General features: G+C 62.2%; 1 protein-coding gene across 1 annotated transcript in view; it reads left to right on the top strand.

The window, feature by feature from the left end:
• The window catches only part of TTC34 (tetratricopeptide repeat domain 34), a 164,708-nt gene that overhangs the window by 39,326 nt on the left and 109,305 nt on the right, over positions 1–16,077 (top strand). The window lies entirely within an intron of this gene.

The raw sequence follows: 16,077 nt of genomic DNA, 5'->3' as shown, positions 1-16,077 counted from the left end.
TGGGTGCTGCTCCAGGCTGCCAGATGCTCACCTGGGGGTGTGGACGCTGCTCCGGGCTGTCAGATGCTCACCTGGGGCTGTGGGCGCCGCCCCAGGCTGTCAGATGCTCACCTGGGGGTGTGGGTGCTGCTCCAGGCTGTCAGATGCTCGCCCGGGGGTGTGGGCGCTGCTCCAGGCTGTCACATGCTCACCTGGGGGTGTGGGCGCTGCTCCAGGCTGTCAGATGCTCGCCTGGGGTTGTGTGTGCTGCTCCAGGCTGTCAGATGCTCGCCTGGGGTTGTGTGTGCTGCTCCAGGCTGTCAGATGCTCGCCCGGGGGTGTGGGCGCTGCTCCAGGCTGTCACATGCTCACCTGGGGGTGTGGGCGCTGCTCCAGGCTGTCAGATGCTCGCCTAAGGTTGTGTGTGCTGCTCCAGGCTGTCAGATGCTCGCCTGGGGGTGTGGGTGCTGTTCCAGGCTGTCATATGCTCATCTGCCAGTAGGGGTGCTGTTTTATGCTGCCAGATGCCCACCTCGGGGTGAAGGTGCTGTTCTAGGTTGTCAGACGCTCCCCTGGGGTCGAGAGTGCTGTTCCGTGCTTTCAGATGCTTACTTGGAGGCCTGGGGTTCTGTTCCAGGCTATCAGATGTTCATCTGGAAGCAGTGGGGTGTTTCCAGGCTGTCAGATGCTCACGTGTGGGTGGAGGGTGCTTTCCCAGGTTGTCAAATGCTCACCTGGGAGCAGTGGTCTTGTTCCATGCTGTCAGATTTTTGCCTGGGTTGTGGGGTGCTGTTTCAGGCTGTCATATTCTCACCTGAAGGTGAAGGGTGCTGTTTCAGGCTGTCAGATGCTCACCTGGGGGTGCAGGGTGCTGTTTTAATGTTGTCAGATTCTCACCTGGAAGAGTGGGGTTCTGTTCCAGGTTGTCAGATCCTCACCTGGGGTTTGAGAATTCTGTTCCAGGCTGTCGGATGCTCACCTGGGGGTGTAGGTGCTGCTCCAGGCTGTCGGATGCTCGCCTAGGGGTGTGGGTGCTGCTCCAGGCTGTCAGATACTCACCTGGGGTTGTGGGTGCTGCTCCAGGCTGTCGGATGCTCACCTGCGGGAGTGGGTGCTGCCCCAGACTGTCGGATGCTCACCTGGGGGTGTGGGTGCTGCTCCAGGCTATCGCATCCTCGCCTGGGCGTGTGGGTGCTGCTCCAGGCTGTCAGATGCTCACCCTGGGGGGGTCGGCGCTGCTCCAGGCTGTCGGATGCTCACCTGGGGGAGTATGTGATGCTCCAGGATGTCCGATGCTCACCTGGGGTGAGGATGCTGCTCCACGCTCTCGGATGCTCACCTGGGACTGTGGGTGCTGCTCCAGGTGGTCATATGCTCACCTCTGGGTGTGAGCGCTGCTCCAGGCTATCAGATGCTCACCTGGGGGTGTGGACGCTGCTCCAGGCTGTCAGATGCTCACCTTGGGGTGTGAGCATTTCTCCAGGCTGTCAGATGCTTACCTGGGTGTGTGGGAGCTGCTCCAGGCTGTCAGATGCTCAACTGCGGGTATGGGTGCTGCTCCAGGCTGTCAGATGCTCATCTAGGGGTGTGGGCGCTGCTCCAGGCTGTCGGATGCTCACCTGGGGGAGTATGTGATGCTCGAGGATGTCCGATGCTCACCTGGGGTGTGGGTGCTGCTCCAGGCTGTCGGATGCTCAAATGGGGGTGTGGGTGCTGCTCCAGGCTGTCAGATGCTCACCTGGAGGTGTGGGCGCTGCTCCAGGCTGTCAGATGCTCACCTTGGGGTTTGGGCGCTTCACCAGGCTGTCAGATGCTGACCTGGGTGTGTGGGTGCTGCTCCAGGCTGTCAGATGCTCACCTGGGGGTGTGGGTGCTGCTCCAGGCTGTCAGATGCTCACCTGCGGATGTGGGTGGTGTTCCAGGCTGTCAGATTCTCGCCTGGGTGTGTGGATGCTGCTCCAGGCTGTCAGATGCTCGCCTGTGGGTGCGGGGTGATGTTCCAGGCTGTCAGATACTCACCTTGGGGTGTGGGGTGCTGTTCCAGGCTGTCAGATGCTCACCTGCGGGTGTGCGGTGCTGTTCCAGGCTGTCAGATGCTCGCCTGGAGTTGTGGCTGCTGCTCCATGCGGTCAGATGCTCGCCTGGGGTTGTGGGTGCTGCTCCATGACTTCAGATGCTCGCCTTGGGGTATGGGTGCTGCTCCGGGCGGTCAGATGCTCACCTGGGGGTGTGGGTGCTGCTCCAGGTTGTCAGATGCTCACCTTGGGCTGTGGGTGCTGCTCCACACTATCAGATGCTAACCTGGGGGTGTGGGCACTGCTCCAGGCTGTCAGATGCTCACTTGGGTGTGTGGGCGCTGCTCCGGACTCTCCGATGCTCACCTGTGGTTGTGGGTGCTTCTCCAGACCATCAGATGCTCACCTGGTGGTGTGGGTGCCTTTCCAGGCTGTCAGATGCTCACCTGGGGGTGCAGGGTGATGTTCCAGGCTGTCAGATGCTCACCTGAGGGTGCAGGATACTACTCCAGGCTGTCAGATGCTCACCTGGGGGTGTGGGTGCTGCTCCAGGATGTCAGATGCTCGCCTGGGAGTGTGGGTACTGTTGCAGGCTGTGAGATGCTCACCTGTGGGTGTGGGGTGCTGCTCCACGATGTCGGATGTTCACCTCGGGGTGTGGGTCCTGCTCCAGGCTGTCGGATGCAAGCCTGGGGTTGTTGGTGCTGCTCCAGGCTGTCGAATGCTCACCTGGGGGTGTGGGTGCTGTTCCAGGCTGGCGGATGCTCGCCTGGCGGTGTGGGTGCTGTTCCAGGCTGTCCGATGCTCGTCTGGGAGTGTGGGTGCTGTTCCAGGCTGTCAGATGCTCATCTGGGGGTGTGGGTGCTGCTCCAGGCTGCCCGATGCTCACCTGGGGGTGTGGGGTGCTGCTCCAGGCTGTCAGATGCTCGCCTGGGAGTGTGGGTGCTGATCCAGGCTGTCACATGCCCACCTGGGGGTGTGGGTGCTGCTCCAGGCTGTCGGATACTCACCTGGGTGTGTGGGGTGCTGCTCCAGGCTGTCCGATGCTCGCCTGTGGGTGTGGGTGCTGTTCCAGGACGTCAGATGCTCGCCTGGGGGTGTGGGTGCTGTTCCAGGCTGTCACGTGCGCACCGGGGGTGCAGGGTGCTGTTTCAGGCTGTCAGATGCTTACCTGGGGGTGTGGGTGCTGTTACATGCTGTCAGATGCTCGCCTGGGGGTGTGGGTGCTGTTCTAGGCTGTCAGAGGCTCACCTGAGCGTGTGGGTGCTGTTCCAGTCTGTCAGATGCTCACCTGGGGGTGTGGGTTCTGCTCCAGGCTGTCGGATGTTCACCTGGGGGTGTGGGTGCTGTTCCAGGCTGTCAGATGCTCAACTGGCGGTGTGCGTGCTGCTCCAGCCCGTCAGAGGCTAACCTGGAGGTGTGGGTGCTGTTCCAGGATATAAGATGCTCACCTGGGGGTGTGGGTGATGTTCCAGGCGGTCAGCTGCTCACCTGGGGGTGTGGGTGCTGTTCCAGGTTGTCAGATGCTCACCTGTTGGTGTGGGTGCTGCTTCAGGCTGTCAGATGCTCACCTGGAGTGTGGGTGCTGCTCCAGGCTGTCTGATCCTCACCCGGGGGTGCAGGGTGCTGTTCCAGGCTGTCAGATGCTCGCCTGGGGGTGTGGTTGCTCTTCCAGGCTGTCAGATGCTCACCTGGGGGTGTGGGTGCTGCTCCAGGCTGTCGGATGCTCACCTGGAGGTGAGGATGCCATTCCATGCGGTCAGATGCTCACCTGGGGGTATGGGTGCTGCTCCAGGCTGTCGGATGCTCACCTGGGGTTGTGGGAGCTGTTTCAGGATGTCGGATGCTCACCTGGGGGTGTGGGTGCGGTTCCAGGCCATCAGATGCTCGCCTGGGTGTGTGGGTGCTCTTCCAGGCTGTCATGTGCGCACCTGGGGGTGCAGGGAGCTGTTCCAGGCTGTCAGATGCTCATCTGGGCGTATGGGTGCTGTTCCAGGCTGTCAGATGCTCTCCTTGGGGTGCAGGGTGCTGTTCCACGCTGTCAGATGCTCATCTGGGCGTATGGGTGCTGTTCCAGGTTGTCAGATGCTCGCCTGGGGGTGTGTGTGCTGTTCCAGGGTGTCAGATGCTCGCCTGGGGGTGTGTGTGCTGTTCCAGGGTGTCAGTTGCTCACCTGGGGGTGCAGGGTGCTGTTCCAGGCTGTCAGATGCTCACCTGGGGATGTGGGTGCTGCTCCAGGATGTCAGATGCTCACCTGGGTGTGTGGGTGCTGTTCCACGCTGTCACGTGCGCACCTGGGGGTGCAGGGTGCTGTTCCAGGCTGTCAGATGCTCACCTGGGGGTGTGGGTGCTGTTACATGCTGTCAGATGCTCGCCTGGGGGTGTGGGTGCTGTTCCAGGCGGTCAGATCCTCACCTGGGGGTGTGCGCGCTGTTCCAGGCTGTCAGATGCTCTCCTGGGGGTGCAGGGTGCTGTTCCAGGCTGTCAGAGGCTCACCTGTGGTTGTGGGTGCTGCTCCAGACCATCAGATGCGCACCTGGGGGTGTGGGTGCTGCTCCAGGCTGTCGGATGCTCGCCGGAAGGTGTGGGTGCTGCTCCGTGGGTTCAGATGCTCGCCTGTGGGTGTGGGTACTGTTACAGGCTGTCAGATGCTCACCTGTGGGTGTGGGGTGCTGCTCCACGATGTCGGATGTTCACCTAGGGGTGTGGGTCCTGCTCCAGGCTGTCGGATGCTCACCTGGGGGTGTGGGTGCTGTTCCAGGCTGGCGGATGCTCGCCTGGCGATGTGGGTGCTGCTCCAGGCTGTCCTATGCTCGTCTGGGAGTGTGGGTGCTGTTCCAGGCTGTCAGATGCTCACCTGGGGGTGTGGGTGCTGATCCAGGCTGTCCGATGCTCACCTGGGGGTGTGGGGTGCTGCTCCAGGCTGTCAGATGCTCGCCTGGGAGTGTGGGTGCAGATCCAGGCTGTCACATGCTCACCTGGGGGTGTGGGTGCTGCTCCAGGCTGTCGGATGCTCCCCTGGGGGTGTAGGGTGCTGCTCCAGGCTGTCCGATCCTCGCCTGGGGGTGTGGGTGCTGTTCCAGGCTGTCACTTGCACACCTGGGGGTGCAGGGTGCTGTTCCAGGCTGTCAGATGCTTACCTGGGGGTGTGGGTGCTGTTACATGCAGTCAGATGCTCTCCTGGGGGTGTGGGTGTTGTTCCAGGCTGTCACGTGCACACCTGGGGGTGCAGGGTGCTGTTCCAGGCTGTCAGATGCTTACCTGGGGGTGTGGGTGCTGTTACATGCAGTCAGATGCTCGCCTGGGGGTGTGGGTCCTGTTCCAGGCTGTCAGATGCTCACCTGGGGGTGCGCGTGCTGTTCCAGGCTGTCAGAGGCTCACCTGGGCGTGTGGGTGCTGTTCCAGTCTGTCAGATGCTCACCTGGGGGTGTGGGTTCTGTTCCAGGCTGTCAGATGCTCAACTGTGGGTGTGGGTACTGCTCCAGACCATCAGATGCTCACCTGGAGGTGTGGGTGCCGACCCAGGCTGTCAGATGCTCGCCTCGGGGTGTGGGTTCTGCTCCAGGCTGTCGGATGTTCACCTGGGGGTGTGGATGCTGTTCCAGGCTGTCAGATGCTCAACTGGGGGTGTGCGTGCTGCTCCAGCCTGTCAGATGCTCACCTAGGGGTGTGGGTGCTGTTCCAGGATTTCAGCTGCTCACCTGGGGGTGTGGGTGCTGTTCCAGGCTGTCAGATGCTCACCTGGGGGTGTGGGTGCTGTTCCAGGCTGTCAGATGCTCACCTGTTGGTGTGGGTGCTGCTTCAGGCTGTCAGATGCTCACCTGGAGTGTGGGTGCTGCTCCAGGCTGTCTGATCCTCACCCTGGGGTGCAGGATGCTGTTCCAGGCTGTCAGATACTCGCCTGGGGGTGTGGTTGCTCTTCCAGGCTGTCAGATGCTCACCTGGGGGTGTGGGTGCTACTCCAGGCTGTCGGATGCTCACCTGGAGGTGAGGATGCCATTCCATGCGATCAGATGCTCACCTGGGGGTATGGGTGCTGCTCCAGGCTGTCGGATGCTCACCTGGGGGTGTGGGAGCTGTTTCAGGATGTCGGATGCTCACCTGGGCGTCTGGGTGCAGTTCCAGGCCATCAGATGCTCGCCTGGGTGTGTGGGTGCTGTTGCAGGCTGTCAGGTGCGCACCTGGGGGTGCAGGGACCTATTCCAGGCTGTCAGATGCTCATCTGGGCGTATGGGTGCTGTTCCATGCTGTCAGATGCTCTCCTGGGGGTGCAGGGTGCTGTTCCACGCTGTCAGATGCTCATCTTGGCGTATGGGTGCTGTTCCAGGTTGTCAGATGCTCGCCTGGGGGTGTGTGTGCTGTTTCAGGGTGTCAGATGCTCACCTGGGTTGCAGGGTGCTGTTCCAGGCTGTCAGATCCTCACCTGGGGGTGCAGGGTGCTGCTCCAGGCTGTCAGATGCTCACCTGGGGGTGTGGGTGCTGCTCAAGGATGTCAGGTGCTCGCGTGAGTGTGTGGGTGATGTTCCAGGCTGTCGGATGCTCACCTGTGGTTGTGGGTGCTGCTCCAGACCATCAGATGCTCACCTGGGGGTGTGGGTGCCGTTCCAGGCTGTCAGATGCTCGCCTGGGTGTGTGGGTGCTGCTCCAGGCTGTCGGATGCTCACCTGTGGGTTTGGGGTGCTGCTCCACGATGTCAGATGCTCACCTGTGGTTGTGGGTGCTGCTCCAGACCATCAGATGCGCACCTGGGTGTGTGGGTGCTGCTCCAGGCTGTCGGATGCTCGCCGGGAGGTGTGGGTGCTGCTCCGTGGTTTCAGATGCTCGCCTGTGGGTGTGGGTACTGTTCCAGGCTGTCAGATGCTCACCTGTGGGTGTGGGGTGCTACTCCACGATGTCGGATGTTCACCTGGGGGTGTGGGTCCTGCTCCAGGCTGTCGGATGCACGCCTGGGGTTGTGGGTGCTGCTCCAGGCTGTCGAATGCTCACCTGGGGGTGTGGGTGCTTTTCCAGGCTGGCGGATGCTCGCCTGGCAGTGTGGGTGCTGCTCCAGGCTGTCCGATGCTCGTCTGGGAGTGTGGGTGCTGTTCCAGGCTGTCAGATGCTCATCAGGGGGTGTGGGTGCTGCTCCAGGCTGTCCGATGCTCACCTGGGGGTGTGAGGTGCTGCTCCAGGCTGTCAGATGCTCGCCTGGGGGTGTGGGTGCTGATCCAGGCTGTCACATGCTCACCTGGGGGTGTGGGTGCCGTTCCAGGCCGTCAGATGCTCGCCTGGGGGTGTGTGTGCTGTTCCAGGCTGTCACGTGCGCACCTGGGGGTGCAGGGTGCTGTTCCAGGCTGTCAGATGCTCACTTGGGTGTGTGGGTGCTGTTACGTGCTGTGAGATGCTCGCCTGGGGGTGTGGGTGCTGTTCCAGGCGGTCAGATGCTCACCTGGGTGTGTGCGTGCTGTTCCAGGCTGTCAGATGCTCCCCTGGGGGTGCAGGGTGCTGTTCGAGGCTGTCACAGGCTCAGCTGGGCATGTGGGTGCTGTTCCAGTCTGTCAGATGCTCACCTGGGGGTGTGGTTTCTGTTCCAGGCTGTCAGATGCTCACCTGTGGGTGTGGGTGCTGCTCCAGACCATCACATGCGCACCTGGGGGTGTGGGTGCTGCTCCAGGCTGTCGGATGCTCGCCTGGAGGTGTGGGTGCTGCTCCTTGCGTTCAGATGCTCGCCTGGGGGTGTGGGTGCTCCTCCACGCTGTCAGATGCTCACCTGGGGGTGTGGGCACTGCTCCAGGCTGTCAGATGCTCGCCTGGGGGTGTGGGCGCTGCTCCAGACTCTCCGATGTTCACCTGTGGTTATGCGTGCTGCTCCAGACCATCAGATGCTCACCTGGGGGTGTGGGTGCCGTTCCAGGCTGTCAGATGCTCGCCTGGGGGTGTGGGTGCTTCTCCAGGCTGTCGGATGCTCACTTGGGGGTGCAGGGTGCTGTTCCAGGCTGTCAGATGCTCACCTGGGGGTGTGGGTGCTGATACATGCAGTCAGATGCTCGCCTGTGGGTGTGGGTGCTGTTCCCGGCTGTCACATGCTCACCTGGGGGTGTGCGTGCTGTTCCAGGCTGTCAGAGGCTCACCTGGGCATGGGGGTGCAGTTGCAGTCTGTCAGATGCTCACCTGGGGGTGTGGGTTCTGTTCCAGGCTGTCAGATGCTCACCTGTGGGTGTGGGTTCTGCTCCAGACCATCAGATGCGCACCTGGGGGTGTGGGTGCGGACCCAGGCTGTCAGATGCTCGCCTGGGGGTGTGGGTTCTGCTCCAGGCTGTCAGATGCTCACCTGAGGGTGTGGGTGCTGCTCCAGGCTGTCGGATGCTCGCCTGGGGGTGTGGGTGCTGCTCTGTGCGTACAGATACTCGCCTGGGAGTGTGGGTGCTGCTCCAGGTTGTCAGATGCTCACCTTGGTCTGTGGGTGCTGCTCCATGGTGTCAGATGCTCACCTGGGGGTGTGGGCACTGCTCCAGGCTGTCAGATGCTCGCCCTGCAGTGTGGGCGCTGCTCCAGACTCTCCGATGCTCACCTGTGGTTGTGGGTGATGCTCCAGACCATCAGATGCTCACCTAGGGGTGTGGGTGCCGTTCCAGGCTGTCAGATGCTCGCTTGTGGGTGTGTGTGCTGCTCCAGGCTGTGGGATGCTCACCTGGGGGTGCAGGGTGCTGTTCCAGGCTCTCAGATGCTCACCTGGGGTGTGGGTGCTGCTCCAGGCTGTCAGAAGCTCACCTGTGGGTGTGGGGTGCTGCTCCACGATGTCAGATGCTCACCTGGGGGTGTGGGTGCTGTTCCAGGCAGTCAGATGCTCACATGGGGGTGTGGGTGCTGTTGCAGGCCGTCCGATGCTCGCCTGGGGGTGTGGGTGCTGATCCAAGCTGTCACGTGCACACCTGGGGGTGCAGGCTGCTGTTCCAGGCTGTCAGATGCTCACCTGTGGGTGTGGGTGCTGTTACATGCTGTCAGATGCTCGCCTGGGGGTGTGGGTGCTGTTCTAGGCTGTCAGATGCTCGTCTGGGGGTGTGGGTGATGCTCCAGGCTGTCGGATGCTCACCTGGGTGTGCAGGGTGCTGTTCCAGGCTGTCAGATGCTCACCTGGGGTGTGGGTGCTGCTCCAGGCTGTCAGATGCTCACCTGTGGGTGTGGGGTGCTGCTGCACGATGTCAGATGCTCACCTGGGGGTGTGGGTGCTGTTCCAGGCCGTCAGATGCTCACCTGGGGTTTTTGGTGCTGTTCCAGGCTGTCGGATGCTCGCCTGGGGGTGTGGTTGCCGTTCCAGGCTGTCAGATGCTCACCTGGGGGTGTGGGTGCTGCTCCAGGCTGTCGGATGCTCACCTGGAGGTGAGGATGCCATTCCATGCGGTCAGATGCTCACCTGGGGGTATGGGTGTTGCTCCAGGCTATCGGATGCTCACCTGGGGTTGTGGGAGCTGTTTCAGGATGTCGGATGCTCACCTGGGGGTGTGGGTGCCGTTCCAGGCCATCAGATGCTCGCCTGGGTGTGTGGGTGCTGTTCCAGTCTGTCAGGTGCGCACCTGGGGATGCAGGGAGCTGTTCCAGGCTGTCACATGCTTATCTGGGCGTATGGGTGCTGTTCCACGCTGTCAGATGCTGTCCTGGGGGTGCAGGGTGCTGTTCCATGCTGTCAGATGCTCATCTGGGCGTATGGGTGCTGTTGCAGGTTGTCAGATGCTCGCCTGGGGGTGTGTGTGCAGTTCCAGGGTGTCAGATGCTCGCCTGGGGGTGTTTGTCCTGTTCCAGGTTGTCAGATTCTCACCTGGGGGTGCAAGGTGCTGTTCCAGGCTGTCAGATGCTCACCTGGGGATGTGGGTGCTGCTCCAGGCTGTCAGATGCTCACCTGGCTGTGTGGGTGCTGTTCCAGGCTGTCACGTGCGCACCTGGGGGTGCAGGGTGCTGTTCCAGGCTGTCAGATGCTCACCTGGGTGTGTGGGTGCTGTTACATGCTCTCAGATGCTCGCCTGGGGGTGTGGGTGCTGTTCCAGGCGGTCAGATGCTCACCTGGGGGTGTGCGTGCTGTTCCAGGCTGTCAGATGCTCCCCTGGGGGTGCAAGGTGCTGTTCCAGGCTGTCAGAGGCTCAGCTGGGCATTTGGGAGCTGTTCCAGTCTGTCAGATGCTCACCTGGGGGTGTGGGTTCTGTTCCAGGCTGTCAGATGCTCACCTGTTGGTGTGGGTGCTGCTCCAGACCATCACATGCGCACCTGGGGGCGTGGGTGTTGCTCCAGGCTGTCCGATGCTCGCCTGAAGGTGTGGGTGCTGCTCCGTGCGTTCAGATGTTCGCCTGGGGGTGTCGGTGCTGCTCCACGCTGTCAGATGCTCAGCTGGGTGTGTGGGCACTGCTCCAGGCTGTCAAATGCTCGCCTGGGGGTGTGGGCGCTGCTCCAGACTCTCCGATGTTCACCTGTGGTTATGCGTGCTGCTCCAGACCATCAGATGCTCACCTGGGGGTGTGGGTGCTGCTCCAGGCTGTCGGATGCTCACTTGGGGGTGCAGGGTGCTGTTCCAGGCTGTCAGATTCTCACCTGGGGATGTGGCTGCTGCTCCAGGCTGTCAGATGCTCACCTGTGGGTGTGGGGTGCTGCTCTACGATGTCAGATGCTCACCTGGGGGTGTGGGTGCTGCTCCAGGCTGTCGGATGCTCGCTTGGGGTTGTGGGTGCTGATCCAGGCTGTCCAATGCTCAACTGGGGGTGTGGGTGCTGTTCCAGGCCGTCAGATGCTCGCCTGGGGGTGTGGGTGCTGTTGCAGGCTGTCACGTGCGCACCTGGGGGTGTGCGTGCTGTTGCAGGCTGTCAGATGCTCACCTGGGGGTGCAGGGTGCTGTTCAAGGCTGTCAGAGGCTCACCTGGGCATGGGGGTGCAGTTCCAGTCTGTCAGATGCTCACCTGGGGGTCTGGGCTCTGTTCCAGGCTGTCAGATGCCCACCTGTGTGTGTGGGTGCTGCTCCAGACCATCAGATGCGCACCTGGGGGTGTGGGTGCCGACCCAGGCTGTCAGATGCTCGCCTGGGGGTGTTTGTTCTGCTCCACGGTGTCGGATGCTCACCTGGGTGTGTGGGTGCTGTTCCAGGCTGTCGGATGCTCACTGGGGGTGTGCCTGCTGCTCCAGGCTGTCAGATGCTCACCTGAGGGTGTGGGTGCTGCTCCAGGCTGTCGGATGCTCGCCTGGGGATGTGCGTGCTGCTCCAGGGTGTCAGATGCTCCCCTGGGGGTACAGGGTGCTGTTCCAGGCTGTCAGAGGCTCAGCTGGGCATGTGGGAGGTGTTCCAGTCTGTCAGATGCTCACCTGGGGGTGTGGGTTCTGTTCCAGGCTGTCAGATGCTCACCTGTCGGTGTGGGTGCTGCTCCAGACCATCACATGCGCACCTGGGGGTGTGGGTGCTGCTCCAGGCTGTCCGATGCTCGCCTGAAGGTGTGGGTGCTGCTCCGTGCGTTCAGATGCTCGCCTGGGGGTTTGGGTGCTGCTCCACGCTGTCAGATGCTCACCTGGGTGTGTGGGTACTGCTCCAGGCTGTCAGATGCTCGCCTGGGGGTGTGGGCGCTGCTCCAGACTCTCCGATGTTCACCTGTGTTTATGCGTGCTGCTCCAGACCATCAGATGCTCACCTGGGGGTGTGGGTGCTGCTCCAGGCTGTCGGATGCTCACTTGGGGGTGCAGGGTGCTGTTCCAGGCTGTCAGATGCTCACCTGGGGGTGTGGGTGCTGCTCCAGGCTGTCAGATGCTCACCTGTGGGTGTGGGGTGCTGCTCCACGATGTCAGATGCTCACCTGGGGGTGTGGGTGCTGCCCCAGGCTGTCGGATGCTCGCTTGGGGATGTGGGTGCTGATCCAGGCTGTCCAATGCTCAACTGGGGGTGTGGGTGCTGTTCCAGGCCGTCAGATACTCGCCTGGGTGTGTGGGTGCTGTTACAGGCTGTCACGTGCGCACCTGGGGGTGTGCGTGCTGTTCCAGGCTGTCAGATGCTCACCTCGGGGTGCAGGGTGCTGTTCAAGGCTGTCAGAGGCTCACCTGGGCATGGGGGTGCAGTTCCAGTCTGTCAGATGCTCACCTGGGGGTCTGGGCTCTTTTCCAGGCTGTCAGATGCCCACCTGTGGGTGTGGGTGCTGCTCCAGACCATCAGATGCGCACCTGGGGGTGTGGGTGCCGACCCAGGCTGTCAGATGCTCGCCTGGGGGTGTTTGTTCTGCTCCACGCTGTCGGATGCTCACCTGGGTGTGTGGGTGCTGTTCCAGGCTGTCAGATGCTCACTGGGGGTGTGCCTGCTGCTCCAGGCTGTCAGATGCTCACCTGAGGGTGTGGGTGCTGCTCCAGGCTGTCGGATGCTCGCCTGGGGATGTGGGTGCTGCTCCAGGGTGTCCAATGCTCACCTGGCGGTGTGTGTGCTGTTCCAGGCCGTCAGATGCTCGCCTGGGGTTGTGGGTGCCGACCCAGGCTGTCAGATGCTCGCCTGGGGGTGTGGGTTCTGCTCCAGGCTGTCGGATGTTCACCTGGGGGTGTGGGTGCTGTTCCAGGCTGTCAGATGCTCACCTGGGGGTGTGGGTGCTGATACATGCTGTCAGATGCTCGCCTGGGGGTGTGGGAGCTGTTCCAGTCTGTCAGATGCTCACCTGGGGTTGTGCGTGCTGTTCCAGACTGTCAGATGCTCACCTGGGTGTGCAGGTTGCTGCTCCAGGCTGTCGGATGCTCACCTCTGGGTGTGGGGGCTGCTCCAGACCATCACATGCACACCTGGGGGTGTGGGTGCTGCTCCAGGCTGTCGGATGCTCGCCTGGGGGTGTGGGTGCTGCTATTTGCGTTCAGATGCTTGCCTGGGAATCTGGGTGCTGCTCCAGGCTGTCCAATGCTCACCTGGGGATGTGGGTGCTGTTCCAGGCCGTCAGATGCTCACCTGGGGGTGTCGGTGCTGTTCCAGGCTGTCACGTGCGCACCTGGGGGTGCAGGGTGCTGTTCCAGGCTGTCAGGGTCTCACCTGGGCATGTGGGTGCTGTTCCAGTCTGTCAGATGCTCACCTGTGGGTGTGGGTTCTGTTCCAGACTCTCCGATGCTCACCTGTGGTTTTGGGTGCTGCTCCAGACCATCAGATGCTCACATGGGGGTGTGGGTGCTGCTCCAGGTTGTCAGATGCTCGCCTGCAGGTGTGGGTGCTGCTCCAGGCTGTCGCATGCTCACCTGGGTGTGCAGTTTGCTGTTCCAGGCTGTCAGATGCTCACCTGGGGGTGTGGGTGCTGCTCCAGGCTGTCGGATGCTCGCCTGGGGTTGTGGGTGCTGCTCCAGGCTGTCGGATTCTCACCTGGGGGTGTGGGTGCTGTTCCAGGCTGTCAGATGCTCACCTGGGCGTGTGGGTGCTGTTCCAGGCCGTCAGATGCTCACCTGGGGAAGCAGGGTGCTGTTCCAGTCTGTCAGATACTCCCCTGGCGGTGTGGGTTCTGTTCCAGGCTGTCAGATGCTCACCTGAAGGTGTGGGTGCTGCTCCAAAGCATCAGATGCTCACCTGGGTTTGTGGGTGCCGACCGAGGCTGTCAGATGCTCGCCTGTGGGTGTGGGTTCCGCTCCAGGCTGCCGGATGCTCTCCTAGGGGTGTGGGTGCTGTTCCAGTCTGTCAGATGCTCACCTGGAGGTGTGGGTTCTGTTCCAGGCTGTCAGATGCTCACCTGGGGGTGTGGGTGCTGCTCCAGGCTGTCAGATGCTCACCTGGAGGTGTGGGTTCTGTTCCAGGCTGTCAGATGCTCACCTGGGGGTGTGGGTGCTGCTCCAGGCTGTCAGATGCTCGCATGGTGGTGTGGTTGCTGTTCCAGGCTGTCAGATGCTCACCTGAGGGTGTGGGTGCTGCTCCAGGCTATCGGATGCTCACCCGGGGATGTGGGGTGCTCTTCCAGGCTGTCAGATTCTCACCTGGGGGTGTGGGTGCTGTTCCAGCCTCTCAGATGCTCACCTGGGGTTGTCAGTGTTGCTCCAGGATGTCAGATGCTCCCCTGGGGGTGTGGGTGCTGCTCCATGCGGTCAGATGCTCCCCTGGGGGTGTGGGTGCTGCTCCGGGCTGTCAGATTCTCATCTGTGCGTGCGGGTGATGCTGCGGGCTTTCAGATGCTCACCTGTGGTTGTGGGTGCTGTTCCAGGCTGTCAGATGCTCGCCTGGGGTTCTGGGTTCTGCTCCGTTGGTTCAGATGCTCGCCTGGGGGTGTGGGTGCTGCTCCATGAGTTCAGATGCTCGCCTGGGGGTATGGGTGCTGCTCTGGGAGGTCAAATGCTCACCTGGAGGTGTGGGTGCTGCTCCAGGCTGTCGGATGCTCACCTGGGTGTGCAGGGTGCTGTTCCAGGCTGTCAGATCCTCACCTGGGGTGTGGGTGCTGCTCCAGGCTGTCAGATGCTCACCTATGGGTGTGGGGTGCTGCTCCACGATGTCAGATGCTCACCTTGGGGTGTGGGTGCTGTTCCAGGCAGTCAGATACTCACCTGGGGGTGTGGGTGCTGTTCCAGGCCGTCAGATGCTCGCCTGGCGGTGTGGGTGCTGTTCCAGGCTATCACATGCGCACCTGGGGGTGCAGGCTGCTGTTCCAGGCTGTCAGATGCTCACCTGGGGGTGTGGGTGCTGTTACATGCTGTCAGATGCTCGCCTGGGGGTGCGGGGTGCTGTTCCAAGCTGTCAGATGCTCACCTGGGGGTTTGCGTGCTGTTCCAGGCTGTCAGATGCTCACCTGGGGGTGCAGGGTGCTGTTCCAGGCTGTCAGAGGCTCACCTGGGCATGTGGGTGCTGTTCCAGTCTGTCAGATGCTCACCTGAGGGTGGGGTTTCTGTTCCAGGCTGTCAGATGCTCACCTGTGGGTGTGGGTGCTGCTCCAGACCATCACATGCGCACCTGGGGGTGTGGCTGCTGCTCCAGGCTGTCGGATGCTCGCCTTGGGGTGTGGGTGCTGCTCCGTGAGTTCAGATGCTCGCCTGGGGGTATGGGTGCTGCTCCAGGTTGTCAGATGCTCACCTTGGGCTATGGGTTCTGAACCATGCTGTCAGATGCTCACCTGGGGCTCTGGGCACTGCTCCAGGCTGTCAGATGCTCGCCTGGGGGTGTGGGCGCTGCTCCAGACTCTCCGATGCTCACCTGGAGGTGAGGATGCCATTCCATGCGGTCAGATGCTCACCTGGGGGTATGGGTGCTGCTCCAGGCTGTCGGATGCTCACCAGGGGGTGTGGGAGCTGTTTCAGGATGTGGGATGCTCACCTGGGGGTGTGGGAGCTGTTTCAGGATGTCGGATGCTCACCTCGGTCTGTGGGTGCGTTTCCAGGCCGTCAGATGCTCGCCTGGGTGTGTGGGTGCTGTTCCAGGCTGTCATGTGCGCACCTGAGGGTGCAGGGAGCTGTTCCAGGCTGTCAGATGCTCATCTGGGCGTATGGGTGCTGTTCCAGGCTGTCAGATGCTCTCCTGGGGGTGCAGGGTGCTGTTCCACGCTGTCAGATGCTCATCTGGGCGTATGGGTGCTGTTCCAGGTTGTCAGATGCTCGCCTGGGGGTGTGTGTGCAGTTCCAGGGTGTCAGATGCTCGCCTGGGGGTGTGTGTGCTGTTCCAGGGTGTCCGATGCTCACCTGGGGGTGCAGGGTGCTGTTCCAGGCTGTCAGATGCTCACCTGGGGATGTGGGTGCTGCTCCAGGCTGTCAGATGCTCACCTGGGTGTGTGGGTGCTGTTCCACGCTGTCACGTGCGCACCTGGGGGTGCAGGGTGCTGTTCCAGGCTGTCAGATGCTCACCTGGGGGTATGGGTGCTGTTACATGCTGTCAGATGCTCGCCTGGGGATGTGGGTGCTGTTCCAGGCGGTCAGATCCTCACCTGGGGGTGTGCCCGCTGTTCCAGGCTGTCAGATGCTCTCCTGGGGGTGCAGGGTGCTGTTCCAGGCTGTCAGAGGCTCACCTGTGGTTGTGGGTGCTGCTCCAGACCATCAGATGCGCACCTGGGGGTGTGGGTGCTGCTCCAGGCTGTCGGATGCTCGCCGGAAGGTGTGGGTGCTGCTCCGTGGGTTCAGGTGCTCGCCTGTGGGTGTGGGTACTGTACAGGCT

This window comes from Homo sapiens, chromosome 1, assembly GCF_000001405.40.
Source record: "Homo sapiens chromosome 1, GRCh38.p14 Primary Assembly".
In the NCBI taxonomy this organism is placed as follows: Eukaryota; Metazoa; Chordata; class Mammalia; order Primates; family Hominidae; genus Homo; species Homo sapiens.
Note: the sequence above shows the minus strand (reverse complement) of the source record. Positions and strands in the feature narration are given on the sequence as shown.